We start from the raw sequence: 16,406 nt of genomic DNA, 5'->3' as shown, positions 1-16,406 counted from the left end.
GGGCGCAGTGGCTCATGCCTGTAATTAATCCCAGCACTTTGGGAGGCTGAGATGGGCAGACCATGAGGTCAGGAGTTCAAGACCAGCCTGGCCAACATGATGAAACCCTGTCTCTCTAAAAATACAAAAAAAATTAGCTGGGCATAGTGGCGCACACCTATAATCCCAGCTACTCAGGAGGCTGAGGCAGGAGAATTGCTTGAACCCAAGAGGCAGAGGTTGCAGTGAGCCGAGATCGCACCATTGCACTCCAGCTCTGGGCGACAGAGCAAGACTCCGTATCAGAAAAAAAAAAAAAAAAAAAAAAAGTTAAAATATAGATCATGCAAAAAGGAAAAAATTACCTACAATTCCAACAGCCAAAGATATCATCATTTTGATATATATTCTCCTAGAAGTTTCTTTACTCATAGGTAAACCCATTTTGAAAACATATGATCAAACCTAGACATAATTTGGTAATTTGGTAATCTTTTTTTTTTTTGAGACGGAGTCTCACTGTCGCCCAGGCTGGAGTGCCAGTGGCACGATCTCGGCTCACTGCAAGCTCCGCTTCCCGGGTTCACGCCATTCTCCTGCCTCAGTCTCCCGAGTAGCTGGGACTACAGGTGCCCACTACCACACTGGCTAATTTTTTGTATCTTTAGTAGAGACAGGGTTTCACCGTGTTAGCCAGGACGGTCTCAATCTCCTGACCTCGTGATCTGCCTGCCTTGGCCTCCCAAAGTGCTGGGATTGCAGGCGTGAGACACCGCGCCCGGCCGGTAGTTTGTTAATCTTAACTCTTCTCTCTAATCTTGCTCTCGTAGTTATTAGACTTTTTCTTTATGAGATATCCTCTTTATGAGATATCCTGGATCTTTTAGAATCTTCCCAACTTAAATGTGTTTAGTTGCCATGAAAGACTTTTTAATATTTTTTAATCATATGCTTCTTGAGATAATTCTTCCAGTGAAAATTTGTTTCAGTTATAATTTCTTTTCCATTTTTTCATTCCCTTTTCAGTAAGAAAAAGAGCAACATCAAAACATTGCTTACATACCCATCTCCAGTGGAGAAGCATCTTTTCACAAAAGGCATTTTATCTTCCCTTTTGAGAAGTTACTCCTCCCCATTTCAGCTCTCTTCTTAGGATGATAATACTAGATGGTATTTCTCAGCTAAAAGGACCAGGTCAGCCTGGCATGGTGGCTCACACCTGTAATCCTAGCACTCTGGGAGGCCGAGGCGGGTGGATCACCTGAGGTCAGGAGTTCAAGACCAGCCTAGCCAACATGGTGAAACTCAGTCTCCATTAAAAATACAAAAATTAGCTGGGCATGGTGGCGGGTGCCTGTAATTCTCCAGGAGAATCATGTGAACCCAGGAGGCCGAGGTTGCAGTGAGCCGAGATCACACCACTGCACTCCAGCCTGGGCGACAGAGTGAGACTCTGTCTCAAATAAATAAATAAACAAATAAATAAATAAAAATAAAAGGACTAGGTCAGTTACCAATAAAACTATATATTTTACATTAATGAATGGAAGATGAAATGGTTTTAAATGCTTGATCAAGAATTATACTATTATCTTTACTAGAATGTTCACATGCTTGTTAGCATGGATTTTGTGTGTAAAGTTTTCTCTATGTCCGGAGATATTCTGTGAATCTATAAATATTACTGCTAATACAGTGGTCCCTCAGTATCCACTGGGGATTGGTTCCGGGAGATCTCTCTGCCCCCTGCAGATACCAAAATCCTAGAATGCTCAAGTACCTTATATAAAATTGTGTCATATTCATAGAACCTATGCATATCCTCCTGTATACTTTAAATCATTTCCAGATTACTTATAATACCCAATACAATGTAAATGCTATGCAAAAAGTTGTTATGCTGTATTGGTTAGGCAAGAATAACAAGAGGAAAAAAAGTCTGCACGTTTAGTACAGGCACACCACCTATTTCTTTTTTCAAATATTTTTGATCCATGGTTGGTTGAATTCACAGACACAAAACCCGTAGATACAGAGGGCTGACCATCTTATAATTGAATTTTGGCCCATATGATTTTTAAATTTTTTTATTTTATTTGTCCATATGTTATTTGGGTACAGGTGGTATTTGGTTACATGAGTAAGTTCTTTAGTGGTGATTTGTGATATTTTGGTGCACCCATTACCCGAGCAGTATACGCTGCACCCTCTGTAGTGTAGAGTCTTTTATCCCTCTCCCTGCTCCCACTCTTCCCCCCGAGTCCCCAAAGTCCATTGTATCATTCTACTGCTTTTGCGTCCTCATAGCTTAGCTCCCACATATCAGTGAGAACATACGATGTTTGGTTTTCCATTCGTGAGTTACTTTTATCCTATGTAATCTGCAGTTCTGGTAACTGATAGGCGATCCCCACTACCTTAGGGTATGTAGTAGAAATAAACAGTAGGGAGAGAAAGGAAGCTGGATGGCATAGATAGTATGAACTATTGGTACCGTCCTACCAGGGAGCCCTGCTGGAGGTGAAGACGCAGGGGGAAAGAAGGGCAAGTAAGACATAGGTGGTCTGGGGACAGTCAACAGACAGTCAACACAAGGGGATTGGGGTAGGAGTTCTGCTGAGAATGCTTTCTATGTGACTACTTGGACTATTCAATACTCATTTAATTTTGCCAGTTATGTTCAAGGCCCATTAACCCCAATCTCTCATGTACTCGCTTCACAACACTCCAGGTGTCTGCATATCTTGGCCCTCCAGCCTACCCTATTCTTCCATTGATAAAATATGAAAAGATGAAAAAGAAGTTGAGGTACCAATTTCCTGCAAGGTGGGATGGAAATGGCCAGGAAGTATAGTACTGTGAAGGGAAGGTGCTATGAAACTCAGATCTCAGGCCCTGGCCTCCTTGCCCAGCCAAGCCAACTGTTTAAATAATACTATGTTGCTTCCTCTGCAAATAGCCCCACTGAAGTCAATTAATTGATGGAGCATCAGATTCATCTTTAGAAGACTTCCTGTTATTTCTCTTCTGATGTACATATAGCACCAAGGACAGGAATGAACAGTGGGCATCATTAGTGAGTGAGGCAGACTGTCAAGAAAGAAGACAACTGCCTGATTTCTGCTGGGAAATTACTAAGACTGGCAAAATGGTTACTACTATTCAATTATTAGTTAATCTGAAAATCATAAGGTCTTCTCCTTGGCCATAAGTAAATAACTTTGGTTTCCTTTCTAGTGCAGAAGAACTTGCCTTTAGAAAAAGACACTTCCCTGGTCTCCCTTTGCCCCCAGCAGGAATCTAGCAAATGGGAATGCAAAGCTCAATGAGCTCAGGAACCAAGCCTCATTAGCATAAGGCTTCCACCTCCTAGAAAACCAGTTTATTTTCTTTTTTACTTCTTACTTATAACTGTAAAGGCCCATATTTAAAAAGAAAAGAAAAATCTCAATTTAATAATCTAATCCTCTACCTTAAGAAACTAGAAAATGAAAAGCAAACTAAAACTAAAGCAATGAGAAAGAAAATAATATAAATCAGAGTGGCAATAAATGAAGTAGAGAATATAAAAAGCAGAAAAATCAAAACCACTTTTGATTCTTGAAAATATCAATAAAAGTAATGAATCTTTATCTTGACTAACCAAGAATAAAAGAGAGAAGACTCAGATTACTAAAATCAGGAATGAAAGACGTACATTGCTATTGACCTTGTAGAAATAAAAAGGATTGGCAGGGTGGAGTAGCTCACGCTTGTAACCCCAGCACTTAGGGAGGCCAAGGCAGGTGGATCACCTGAGGTCAGAAGATCGAGACCATGCTGGCCAATATGGTGAAACCGCATCTCTACTAAAATACAAGAAAAAAAAAAAATTAGCCGGGCATGGTGGCACATGCCTGTGGTCCCAACTATTCAGGAGGCTGAGGCAGGGGAATCGCTTGAACCCAGGAGGCAGAGATTGCAGTGAACTGAGATTACGCCACTGCACTCCAGCCTGGCAACAGAGCGAGACTCTGTCTCAAAAAAAAAAAAAAAAAAAAAGGAAATAAATAAAAAGGATTATAAGAACACTATCAACAAGCGTATGCCAAGAAATTAGATAACCTAGATGAAATGGAGAAATTTCTAAAAAGACACAAACTACCTGTGATGGTTAATACTGAGTGTCAACTTGATTGGATTGAGGGATACAAAGTATTAATCCTGGGTGTGTCTGTGTGGGTGTTGCCAAAAGAGATTAACATTTGAGTCAGTGGGCTGGGGAAGGCAAATCCACCCTTAATCCGGTGGGCACAATCTAGTCAGCTTCCAGCAAATATAAAGCAGGCAGAAAAATGTGAAAAAGGAAAGATGGGCCTAGCCTCCGCACCTACATCTTTATTCCATGTAGGATGCTTCTTGCCCTAGAACCCGGATTGGCTCTCCTTGCTCCTCAGCTTGCAGACAACCTATTGTGGAACCTTGTGATCGTGTAAGTTACTATTTAATAAACTCACCTATATATATATATATATATATCCATCCTATTAGTTCTGTCCCTCTGAGAGAGCCCTAATAAACTACCAAAACAAACTCAAGAAGAAATAGAAAATCTGGACAGACCAATAACAATTAAATACACTTAATTAGTAATCGAAGCTTTCTACAAAGAAATGTGCAGATGCAGATGGTTTCACTGGTAAATTTCAAACCTTTAAAGAATTCAAACAATCTTCACAAACTTAAAAACATAAGAGGGAAAACGTTCCATCTCATTCTATGAGGTCCTAATGCCAAAAACAAAGACATCACAAGAGAGGAAAAATACTATTAATTATATCTGTAGTGGGTAGAAATGTGTCCCCTAAAAAGATATGTTGAAGTCCTAACTTCCAGTACTTGTAAATGTGATCTTATTGGAAATATGGGCTTGGCAGATGTAATCAAGATGAGGTCATACTACATTGAGGAAGAGGGAAATATGGACACATATACAGAGAGACACAGAGAGGATGCCTAGGCCAGGCACAGTGGCTCATGCCTGTAATCCCAGCACTCTGGGAGGCCGAGGCGGGTGGATCACCTGAGGTCAGGAGTTCAAGACCAGCCTGGCCATCATGGTGAAGACCCGTCTCTACTAAAAATGCAAACAATTAGTCGGGCGTGGTGACAATCCCAGCTACTCGGGAGGCTGAGGCAGGAGAATCGCTTGAACCAGGGAGGTGGAGGTTGCAGTGAGCTGAGATCATGCCATTACACTCCAGCCTGGGCAACAAGAGCGAAACTACATCTCAAAAAAAAAAAAAAAAAAAAAAAAAAAGAGAGAGAGAGAGAGAGGATGCCTAATTTCAAAACTTCATAGAAGCTATAGTACTCAAGGCAGTGTGATACTGGCATAAAGACTAACAAATAAAGATCAATGTAACAGACTTGAGAATTCAGAAATTGGTCCTTATATTTATGGTCAATTGATTTTCAACAAGGATGCCAAAACAATTAGATGGGGAAATAGTCTTTTCAACAAATGCTGGAATAACTGAATATCCACATGCCAAAGAATGAAGTTAGACCTCTATCTCACACCACATACCCAAGTCAAGTCAAAATGGATCAAAGCCCCAAATGTAAAAGCTAAAACTATAAAACTCTTGGAAGAAAATTAGGTGTAAAATCTTTATGACCTTGCATTATGTAATATATGACATCAGAAGCACAAACAACATTAAAAAGATAACTTGGACCTAATCAGAATTTTAAAAATTTGTGTTTCTTGACACCATCATGAAAGTGAAAGGACACTCAAATAATAAATGAAAATATTTGCAAATCATATACCTGATCCTGGACTTTAATCCAGAATAAAAACCCTTACAATTCAAAAATTAAAAGATCATAAAAAAAAATTCAAAATGGATCAGAACTAAATGTAAAATGTGAAACTGTAAAACTCCTAGAAAATAACAGGAGAAATGGAAATGCACATTAATGAAAGAAGCCAATCTGAAAAAGCTGTATCCTATGATTCCAACTATGTAAGACTCTGGAAAAGGCAAAACTATGAAGACAGTACAAAGACCAGTGGTTGCTTAAGTGTGCTAAGCGAGGGGTAGGCAGGCATGGGTCAGAAGAGCAGAATAGATGAAGCACAGAGGATTTCTAGGGCAGTGAAAATGTGCTGTGTGATACAATAAAGATGAACACATGTCATTATAAATGTGTCCAAACCCATAGAACGTACAACAGCAAAAGTGAACCCAAATGTAACTACAGACTTTGGGTAAAAATGATACGTCAACGTACGTTCATCAATTGTAACAAATATACCACCCTGGTGGGGGATGCTGATAATGGAGGGGGCTGTGCACGTGTGTGAGGAGGGTGTATATGGGATATCTTTGCACTTTCTTTCAATTTTGCTGTGAACCTAAAACTGCTATAAAAAGAAGTGGTTTTAACTTAATTGAGAATAAGCAACTATAACTGTAATTTGAGCAGACATTTCAGAATATTATAATAAAACATGCAGAGATAGAGATGCTGAGATTTTCCAGAACTGATGAAAGATATCAATACACAGATTAAGAGACTCAGTGAATCCCCAAAAGATAAACAGTAATCTATTCCCTAGTTGTGCAACTACACTAAACCAAAGACATATACAAACACATAATCTTAAAACCAACCAGAGGAAAAAAGGCACATAACCTGTCTAGAGCTTGATTGACAACTGACTCTTTAAACTGTTACAAGAAAAGCCAGAAACTGTAGAGGTGCTGGAGGTAGGAGAGGGGAGGGGAGGGAAGGAGAAAGGAGAAAAGAAAGGATGGGAGGGGAGGGGAGGAGAGGGGAGGAACACAGGGGATTCGAAGAGAGAGAAAGAATATTCCTCAGTTCACATTATGAAAGTAGCATAATTTTGGTACCAAAAGCTGACAAATACAATGTGACAAGGGAAAAATTATAGGCCAATCTCTCCTGTGAACATTGATAAAAAAGAAGACCCTAAACAAAATATTAGAAAACCAAGTTTAGCAATAACAATAATACAGCATGACCAAGTTCGGTTGGCAAGGTTGTGGTGCATTAATACAACAGAACACTGTAAGGTAATAAAATAAATGAACTACAGCTATATGAAACATGGATAAAATCTCAATGTTAAGGAAAGGAAGCAAGACCCAAGAATTAATGAGTACATTGATAAAGTTCAAAACCAGGCAAAGCGAAACTTAGGCTTGATTAGGTTGCAAACTTTAAGGAAAAGGAAATTAAGTGTCAAAAGAATGGATACCCCTACAGGTGGCGTATGATTGAGAAGGAATGTACTCCTGGCAATATTCTGCTTGGTCACTTTGGTAATGGTTATTCAGATGTTCTTATTTTGTAGTTATTCACTATACTGTAAACTTGCTTTGTATGCTTTTCTAAATTTTACATTTCACCCAGTAAAAATACTATAATCAAACTTTATAGAAATAACACAGAAAAATGAGTCTCCAATAATCCCATTACGTTATTTTCTTTTATATGGCATATATTTTGCTTTTATTTCATTTTATTAATTTTGCTATTTCAGGGAAGTTCTATGAGTCCGCCCCTATGCCACCATCTTCCTATAGATTAAGTCCTCTAATCCTATTTCTGGTCCCTCAAGTCATATGTGACAAGGCTAATTCCATCTGAGTCCTTTTTGGAGACAGAGTCTTGCTTTGTCGCCTAGCCTGGAGTGTAGTGGTGTGATCTCGGCTCACTGCAACCCTGCCTTCTGGGTTCAAGCAATTCTCCTGCCTTGGCCTCCCAAGTAGCTGGGGTTACAGGCGCGTGCCACTATCCCCAGCTAATTTTTGTATTTTTAGTAGAGATGGGGTTTCACCATGTTGGCCAGGCTGGTCTCAAACTCCTGACCTCAAGTGATCCACCCACCTTGGCCTCCCAAAAGTGCTGGGATTACAGGCGTGAGCCACCGTGCCCAGCCCCATCTAAGTGTTTAATCTAAGGACATCTATCATATCCCAGGGACTTTCAATAGCCACTTCTTCCCCCATATTCCTCCCATTCCCGATACATTTCTTCTCTAAACAAAACATCCTGGGTCTTTCACCTAACCCCATGGACATACTCCAAATCTCTAATTTCCCGAGCAGCTTCATATCTGAGCATGTTCCTTTAAGCATGGTACACAGATGGAAACATTCCGGGTATGAAGAAATTAAACTCTCTCTTCTCTACATTCTCTACCTCTACCACTTGGAAGAGGCTGAAGATACTGCACATATGGACTTGAAGGCATAAGGGCCTGCATTTTAAGTCACTGGTGTGGTCTCAATGTGTCCCCCAAAATTCATGCTGGGAACTTAGTCTCGAATGCAACAGTATTGGGAGGCAGCGCCTAACGGGAAGTGTTTAAGTCCTAAGGACTGAGCCCTCATGAATGCATTATAGTGCCCTTATAAAATGGGCTTGTGGGAGTGGCTCTTTTCTAGTCTTCTGCCATGTGAGGATATGACATTCCTCCTCTCTGGAGGACATAGCAATGAGGCACCATCTTGGACTTCCCAGCCTCCAAAACTGAGAATAAATTTCCATTCTCTGTAAATTACCATCTCAGGTATAGCAGCACAAAACAAAGACAGTGATCATCATAGCTGAAATGTTATACAGGTTACTAAACCTCTCTGAGCCCATTTCTGCATTCTGTACAATGGGTTTTACCTACTCTCTCACAGTATGAGTAAAAAACCAGGTGTTTATGAAGTGCCTGTTACAGCAGACTTTCTGTAAGAGGTAACTGACATTAACAGTGTAAACTAAGACCATATTTCTCGGTAGCCATGTAATACTGTTTGTTCTTACTCAACTGTTACTCGGTATTGATCACAGTTTAGTTGCACAAAACAGAATTCATTCTGGTTAGTTTAGCAGGAAAACATTTAAAATTTATTGACAACAGAAATATTTTATAGCCCAACCTGGTATGCAAAAATGCTGGCTATGTCCCACTGAGTTGATTTCATGGCTCACTAATGAAATGTGAGCCACAGAGGGACAATTACATTGCAGGGTATTAAATGGCCTGGAGAATCACCAGAAAAGAACACTCTTGCCTGTGCTTCCACAAACTGGGTGGTCAAGTGGGCTGATAGTTCCAGAAGCACTCCATGTGTATAACCCACATCCTCAAAACGATGCCTGGTGTCTCACAGAATCTGATGGACAAAACCTAAGTGACACCCAAAACCCTGATACAAAGGAATCTGAGAAACATAGTAAAGAAAGGAAAGCACACTAGCAAAACTTCCAAAAGATGTTAATCAAGGTAAGCCACAGAATCAGTCCCATATCTGCAATGAAATGCTGCTTATGTATGTGAGACAGAAAAACCTGGTGGCTGAAGTATTATTTCATTTATCTTATCTCTATAAATGGCATATTTTCTTGATTACAGCCTATTGCTACTTCACTGAGGGAAAACTCGTAACTACAACTAGTACAATTTGCCTGATGAGATGAAATTCAAGGGAACAAACCTAAAGTAACAAATCCCCAAGTTACATGTCTTTCACAAACATACCTCTACCCAGTCAATAGAGGATTTATCAAAAGAAAGATTAATAGTGGAAAAATAAACTGAGGATTCTTTTTCTCACCCTCATCACAAAGAATCTTAAGATTAAAAAGAAGTTTTTAGACTAGTGAAGAGAAGGGAAGAACAAGGAATACCTTTAATCTCTCCTTTTCATTTTTATTTTAGTTCAGCTTATGCAAGATTTTGTACCTTGTGAAAGAATTTGTTTACTGAATAAAAAATATTGCTTAAGATTTAAAGCAATTAAAGCAAAATAAGTTGCTGAAGGGAGATCATATGAGTTAAATACAGGCTTTTTTTTTTAATCTGTAATTGATTTACATTTGATTTTAAGAAGACACTGTTTACATCAGGTCACCACAAAGCAGATTTACATACAACCTTCAATTGCGGAAAAACAAAGTTTCTTTTTGATCCAAACACAAAGAAAAACTTCTTTGTGTTTTTTTTTAATGATCTTTTCCTTGATCATAAAAAAAAGTAAAAAATGCAGTACTTTTAGAAGGTAAAGCTAGTAAGTTTACAGAAGTGCAAAACACCAAAACACTTGAAGCAAAAACTTTTTTTTTTTTTTTAAGAAAAAGGTATGACTTCTTGTTTTCTGTTCTTGGCATAAATTTTAATTCTTTCCAGTGGAACCAAAACCTCCTGAACCCCTTTCGGTGTCATCCAAGGCCTGAAAGATAGAAAGGTAGTAAGCTTCACAGTTTTTTTTAAGAGCCTCTTTCAGTTTTCCTCTCCAGCTCCTAAGAAAAATACAGCCAGAATTCTACTCTTGCTATATCATCTTTTCAAAAGGGAGATTACAGAAAGAAAATTAAATTCTAAAAAGCTCCATAAATTAGAATACTGGATAACTTTAAAAAATTCTAATAAAATATTAGAAGTTCACAGTATGTTTAAATAACTTATTATCCAAAGTAATACTACATAATAGCTACATGAAAAACATTTAAAGAAATTCTAAAACTAGTATTTTAAATTTGCTTAAAATAAGTTTAGTCATATATACTATTTAGTTACAAACAGCATATTAAATTCTCAAGATTATATATATTTCTTCACTTAAGATGTTATATTACTTATTCTGTATCTTCCTTTGTAATACTTACTTGAACTTCTTCTATTTCTGGATAAAAAATCCGTTCGCAAATGAGCTGTGCAATTCGATCACCTTTTTTGACTTCAAAGAAAGAATAGTTTATTACTGACGTTACTGACACATTCGCCATATCCTGTCTTATTCAATGAGAATTAAAGGAGTCAATATTAATTTACACATACATGACTCTGAAAATTCACTAAAATTATGTGAATGTATATATTTAACATACCTTCAAACTTTTCTTTGCCAAAATTAAACAGTACAACACCAACATTTCCTCTATAATCTTCATCTATGACACCAGCTAGAGAAAAGAAAAGTAATATTATCTCAATTTTTGCTATTGGAATACTAGAGGTGTAAGATTATCTCAAAATCATTATCATGTAGCTCTGAGATTTGTATTCTTACAATTGAATAAGTGAATCTTGCCCTGGTACTATGTAAAGCCTCAAAACCAAGAAATGACATTACTAAAATACAAATAAAAATTTAGAAAACAGGTCCTAATTTTCCAACCTGTCACTCTTTATCAAATGGCGACCATTTCCTATTTTAAGCTGGCAGTAGCAATGGCCATCTCCAACCTACTGTCTACCCACGGCACACTTGCCAAAAAGACTAGGAGAAAATTACGATTTGGGTTTTAAAGGTTTTTCCTGGTATCAGCTTCCCGCTAATACCCAGATTGAAATACGATTGAGTCATAAATAAAAATGTCAAAAAGCCTAAAGCTCTGCAGTGGAGTAAATCAACGCTGACATTGTTAAGCAGCAGTCTTGCAAATATTAGAATATTCCATTTTTACACTAAAAATGAAGCTGTATTTTTCAGTTCATAATCTTCCTCTCCTTTTAATCTGAACCACCATCCTTTCTTAGAGCATGGTTTCTCAGAAGACTGTAGCACATAGGCTTCATGAGTACAACTTTTTTTGTGTAATTAATACTTGTTTAAGATTATGAACACAGGGGGAGAAGATCTTTGCAGGGGAGACTTGAGCCAGGTCCCTGACATAGCCCAGAGAGTTATACTTACCAGACTTGCTAGCATTTATCTTTGAGCCAATAATTTAAAATATTTCCATAAGCACAAGCACAGATAATACAGGTGCACCGGGCCTTTTCATTTTTTTATATTGATAAATAATTCACAAAGCATACAATTTATCCATTTGAAGTGTTACAATTCCACAGTTCATAGTGTATCAGAGTTGGCCAACTATCGTCACAGTCAATTATAGCACATTTACATTACCCTCCCTCCAAAAATCCCCTACCTTATTAGCAGTCACTCCCCTTCCTCCTCCCACCCCCAATTTCCTGCTATACACGTTAATTCTTTCTCCTCAGTTTGTGAAAGGCTGGATAAGACTCACGTGAATCTAACTGAAGACAGCTCCATGTCACATCTTACTTGTTATTAATACTCTACCCCAAACAAAAGCCCTGATGAAGGAAAAAATATGGAAATAAAAATAATCCTGTGTTCAGCTCAATGGGCAGTAATGCTATTTGCCCATACTCCTCATTATTTGAAAGCTGAGAAAACAGACAAAAAAACCCCAAAGCATACCCACCCCCCATTTTTTAAGAACAAGGGTAATTCCTAAGCATATCCTTTCAATTTTCTCATATAATGGGGGGAAAAAAGCAAACCCTTAGGTCCACCACGGGGAAAAATATTCAGCAAAAACAACATTTTAGATTTTCCGAATGGATTACAACATACGTTTAAATGAACCCCTGTGCTTTATGAATGAATTACTAGGGACAAGTGAATCTGAATTTAAGCACTTCTTAAAAGGTTCCTGATGCAACACTTTTACGAGAAGAGTGAGTATAAAACTGGGCAGAAAAGCAGCAAAGGCAGTTCATCTCCTGTCGGGCCTGAAGGAAACAATCCATTATTGAACTTGACCAATTCCAATACCAAACCCTGCTTTATTTCTCCACCGTCAGTTGACCATTAATTTACACCTTAATATTTATGAAAAAATTTGATATAAAGATGAAACCAGCTGTTTTCCATATTATCTATATGGAAAAAATTTTGACTGCAGGGACAATTTAAATTAGATTTAATGAAGAAATCCCTCAACATAGCATGTTGTTCCATGCTAGAAAAAATGGCCACAGTAGGCTAGAGAACTTCCATGCTGGGAGATTTTGAGGTACAAGCTAATAATTCATCTATCTTGAATGAGTTAGAGAAAGACATGGACTGACTTCTGAACTATTGTTTCTACTTTATTCAAAAATTTTTAAATAACTAAAACAATACAAATACATATAAAGTAAAAGCTTATAATATTCTCTTACCCTCCCTGAGATAGCTAATGTTACAGAAATATATCTTACATACTACTTTATTTTTTTCTTTTTATCCTTTGAGATTAATATATGTAAATGTTAGCCATTCTTTTTAGATACAAGATATGGAAATATGGGTTCTCTCTCTCCTTCTCTTTCTTTTTTTGGCAGGGTCTCACTCTTATAGCCCAGGCAGGAGTATAGTGGTATGATCACAACTCACTATAGCCTCAACCTCAAGTGATTCTCCCACCTCAGCCTCCAGGTACAAAGGCACCACCACACCTGGCTAATTTTTGTATTTCTTGTAGAGAGAAAGTATCCCTATGTTGCTCAAATAAGCCTCAAACTCCTGGGCTCAAGCAATCTGCCTGTCTCAGCCTCCCAAAGTGCTGGGATTACAGGCATGAGCCACAACGCCCAACCTGTACCATTGTTTCTATGTAACTATTCTCTTGCATAATATCAGACACAGGCTGCTTTTACATTTTGCTATAATAAATGAAGCAGCCCTTTAAGTATATCCTTGTATATGAATGCTTTTTATTTTCATCAAATAGGTTGCAAAAAAGGTGTAGCCACTCAAACTTCCATCAGCAATATTTGAGAATGCCCATTTCCAAAATCCTTGCCAATATTTGATGGCAACAATCTCTTACATTCTGGCCAATATGATGAGTACAAAATGGCTATCTCATTGCCTTACTTTTCATTCCCTGATGACTAGTGAGGCTGGATTTTTTTCCTCCCATTTGTTGGACATTTGCATGTCCTTGTCTATATTTTGTGTATGTTTTTTTCTCATTTGTTCTTTTTCATATAAGTTGCAAATATTTGCTTGTTGGCTTTATAGTATCTTCTAACATACAAAAACACTCCCTTTTTGAAAGGCCTCTGCTAACGTATCTGTAAAGCAGTCCTATCAGAACTACTCAAATGATTGGGTGTCTTGAATCCTGCAGATAGGTGATCTTTATGCTTGGGCCACGAAAATGTGAAAAACCTTTAAGTGACTAAAAGAAATTAAGAAGTTTGAAGTCAATTCAAATGTATGGCAGAAAAAAAGGCCCTCAATAGTTTTTTTTTTTGCATGAATGTTGACGGTATAAAAATTTCAGTAGTTCCAAATTCATTTACCACCCAATTGCCATTCGACCTCCAAGAAAAGCCTTCTCTGCCTACAGGATATAAGTATCAGGGATATTTCTCCTCAGAGAAAGCAGAAAGTAACTTGAAGTTATCACTGGAAAAATCATGCATTGGAACTGGCAGAGTGATTAACTGACTTCAGGCAAAAGTTTTACTGTGTCAAGAGTTTGGCATGTCATTTGTTGGAAACCTTTTTTAGTGAAAAACTATCCACACCTACCAGATGTGAATTCTGAACAGAATCCTGAATGCTCAACTTTTCCCTTTGACCCTTATTTAGAGCCTGGGATTTCTAACAACATCTCTCTTCAGAAATAAAAACTGTTGCCAACTATGATAAACTTGTGCCTAAGGGAGATTGTTAAGATTCTCTGCATCCAAGAACACACCACAATGTGATTTTATGAATAACACCATACCAACCACTAGGCAAACTAACTTTCCATTCTTTTACATGAATTTTTTTCCAGAAAGTTGTTTTAAACAGAGCAAAAATTAGTAACAAAGTCGAATAAAAGAAAAAGTTTCCACATAAAAACAATCTGTGAAGTCCCTAAGGACAGAAATTATATCTCACAGAATCTAATATGTGCCAAGTACTATATTAGGTATTTCATACACATTATCATTTAATCCTCCTACCTCTAGAGGCAGGCACACTAATTTCCATTGTAAAATGAGGAAACAGGCTCAGAAAGGTTAAGTAATAACTAGTTAATGACAGAGCTGGGACCTACATCCAGTTGTTATTCCAAAGCTCCCGTTCCTTGAACAATCATTTGAAACTTCATTGAAAATATATACAATTATTTATATCCTTAAGTTACTGTCCCAAAATGACCACAGTTGACCTTGTAAAAGCATTTTTGAACATCGGGCATAACTTACAGAGCCCAAGGAATCCTCAACCCAAGAGTGGGCTGTCAATGTCCACCCTGCTATGTAAAACTCAGCTCCCCTTTAGTCCCTAAAGGGTGTACTTTTGGGGTCCTGTCTTGTCCCACAGCACCACCTGGTGACACTATGGAGAGACACCACACCCACCAAATGTTAGACTAAGGGGCAGGTCTAGGATAGCCAGGTTTCATTAAGTGCTTAGTTAGCCCTTGCAGTGGCACATAAAAGTGAGCTAATTCTGGACGTGTTTAGTTGGTGAGGGGGATGCAGCAGGGTAATCTCCACAATTAATTGCAGTGGAAAGAACAAGGAGGCTGGAATCACACAGAGACTCCAGTTTTTACCACATATCCATGTGGGCTCATTTCTAAGCCAGTTTTCCTGATCTGTTAACAAGCCTCCATAAAGCAGCTCTGTAAAAACGGGTGGAGGAGGAGATCTAGCACACCTACTTATGTGGGGGCCAAGGTATCTTGTTAAGTGAAAGATTCACTACTGATGGGATAAAGGGTCAGTATGTAAGGACCACATAAGTGGGGTCTGAATCCCAGTTGGAGCGGACCTGAAACAAGGAAACCACATCAGGAAAGTAGAAATTTCCTTACAATAAGAGGAGTAGCTCTGTATCAAGAGTAGTTAGCAGAGGACACTGAGGGTTCTTCATGAAAGGTACCACATGAGGTAGGGTTAACTTTGAGACAAACATGAGAAAGGCTTTATTATAAGGGAAACAGGTAACACAGAGGACTGTCTTAACAAATTTAGAGAAAAGTGTTTTCTCTCCTGACTTCAGGGAAAGATTTTCTTCTTAAATTTTGCTAAAGACAGATAGCTCTCTTATGAAGAAAATTCTTACAAGATAGACCTGTGTTTTCTAGAACTTTTGTTGCTTAAATAATTACTTAATTATTATATCATTAAATCTGTCATTATTAATTAGGTAATCATTATTTTAAAAATTAAGTTAGTAGTTAAACAAAATATAATTACTTAAAATAACCACAAAGCTTTTCCTCCTATTATAACAAGCTTTCCTCTAATCATTTTCTTTTCTTAAAAATAAAATCTGTCATTTGAATATTACCTTTTAAAGACAAAGTAAATACTTGCAAACATTTACAGAATAAAAAAGGAAATATATTACCTCCTACATCAATAAAGTGTTTTGCAGCCAAGCCTGACCGTGGAGCTAAAAAACAAAAAAGGAGACATTGGTTATTTTAAGGGGGAAGGGCTATATCAGAGATAACTGATGCAATTTAAGCATGTCATTCTCTTCACCTATAATATCTATATCTTCATCTTAACTTTAGCACATGGTTTTGAATTAAAGAATATATATTCATCATACTGCATTACCAAAGTTGGAAAGACTAGTTTAGAAAAATTCCACAAGGTT

At 37.8% G+C, this 16,406-nt stretch overlaps 1 protein-coding gene across 4 annotated transcripts in view, besides 1 other annotated feature; it reads right to left on the bottom strand.

The window, feature by feature from the left end:
- The window catches only part of DUT (deoxyuridine triphosphatase), a 12,279-nt gene continuing 4,741 nt past the window's right edge, over window positions 8,869-16,406 (bottom strand). For all 4 annotated transcript variants that reach the window (NM_001330286.2, NM_001025249.1, NM_001025248.2 and 1 more), the window contains 4 exons: window positions 16,152-16,196; window positions 10,879-10,953; window positions 10,657-10,727; window positions 8,869-10,220 (listed from right to left, as the gene is read on the bottom strand). In NM_001330286.2, the coding sequence (NP_001317215.1) occupies window positions 10,164-10,220; window positions 10,657-10,727; window positions 10,879-10,953; window positions 16,152-16,196 (248 nt within the window). In that variant the 3' untranslated portion in view covers window positions 8,869-10,163. The remainder of the gene's footprint in view (window positions 10,221-10,656; window positions 10,728-10,878; window positions 10,954-16,151; window positions 16,197-16,406) is intronic.
- Window positions 15,156-15,225: a silencer, noted in NCBI's record as "silent region_6416". NCBI's record gives its function as "represses an Ori minimal core promoter by ATAC-STARR-seq in GM12878 lymphoblastoid cells {active_cell/tissue: GM12878}" and the evidence as "EXISTENCE:reporter gene assay evidence [ECO:0000049][PMID:35858748]".

Source organism: Homo sapiens, chromosome 15 (genome assembly GCF_000001405.40).
Source record: "Homo sapiens chromosome 15, GRCh38.p14 Primary Assembly".
Lineage (NCBI taxonomy): Eukaryota > Metazoa > Chordata > Mammalia > Primates > Hominidae > Homo > Homo sapiens.
The sequence above is the reverse complement of the archived record's forward strand: the minus strand, read 5'-3'. Positions and strand labels throughout refer to the sequence as shown.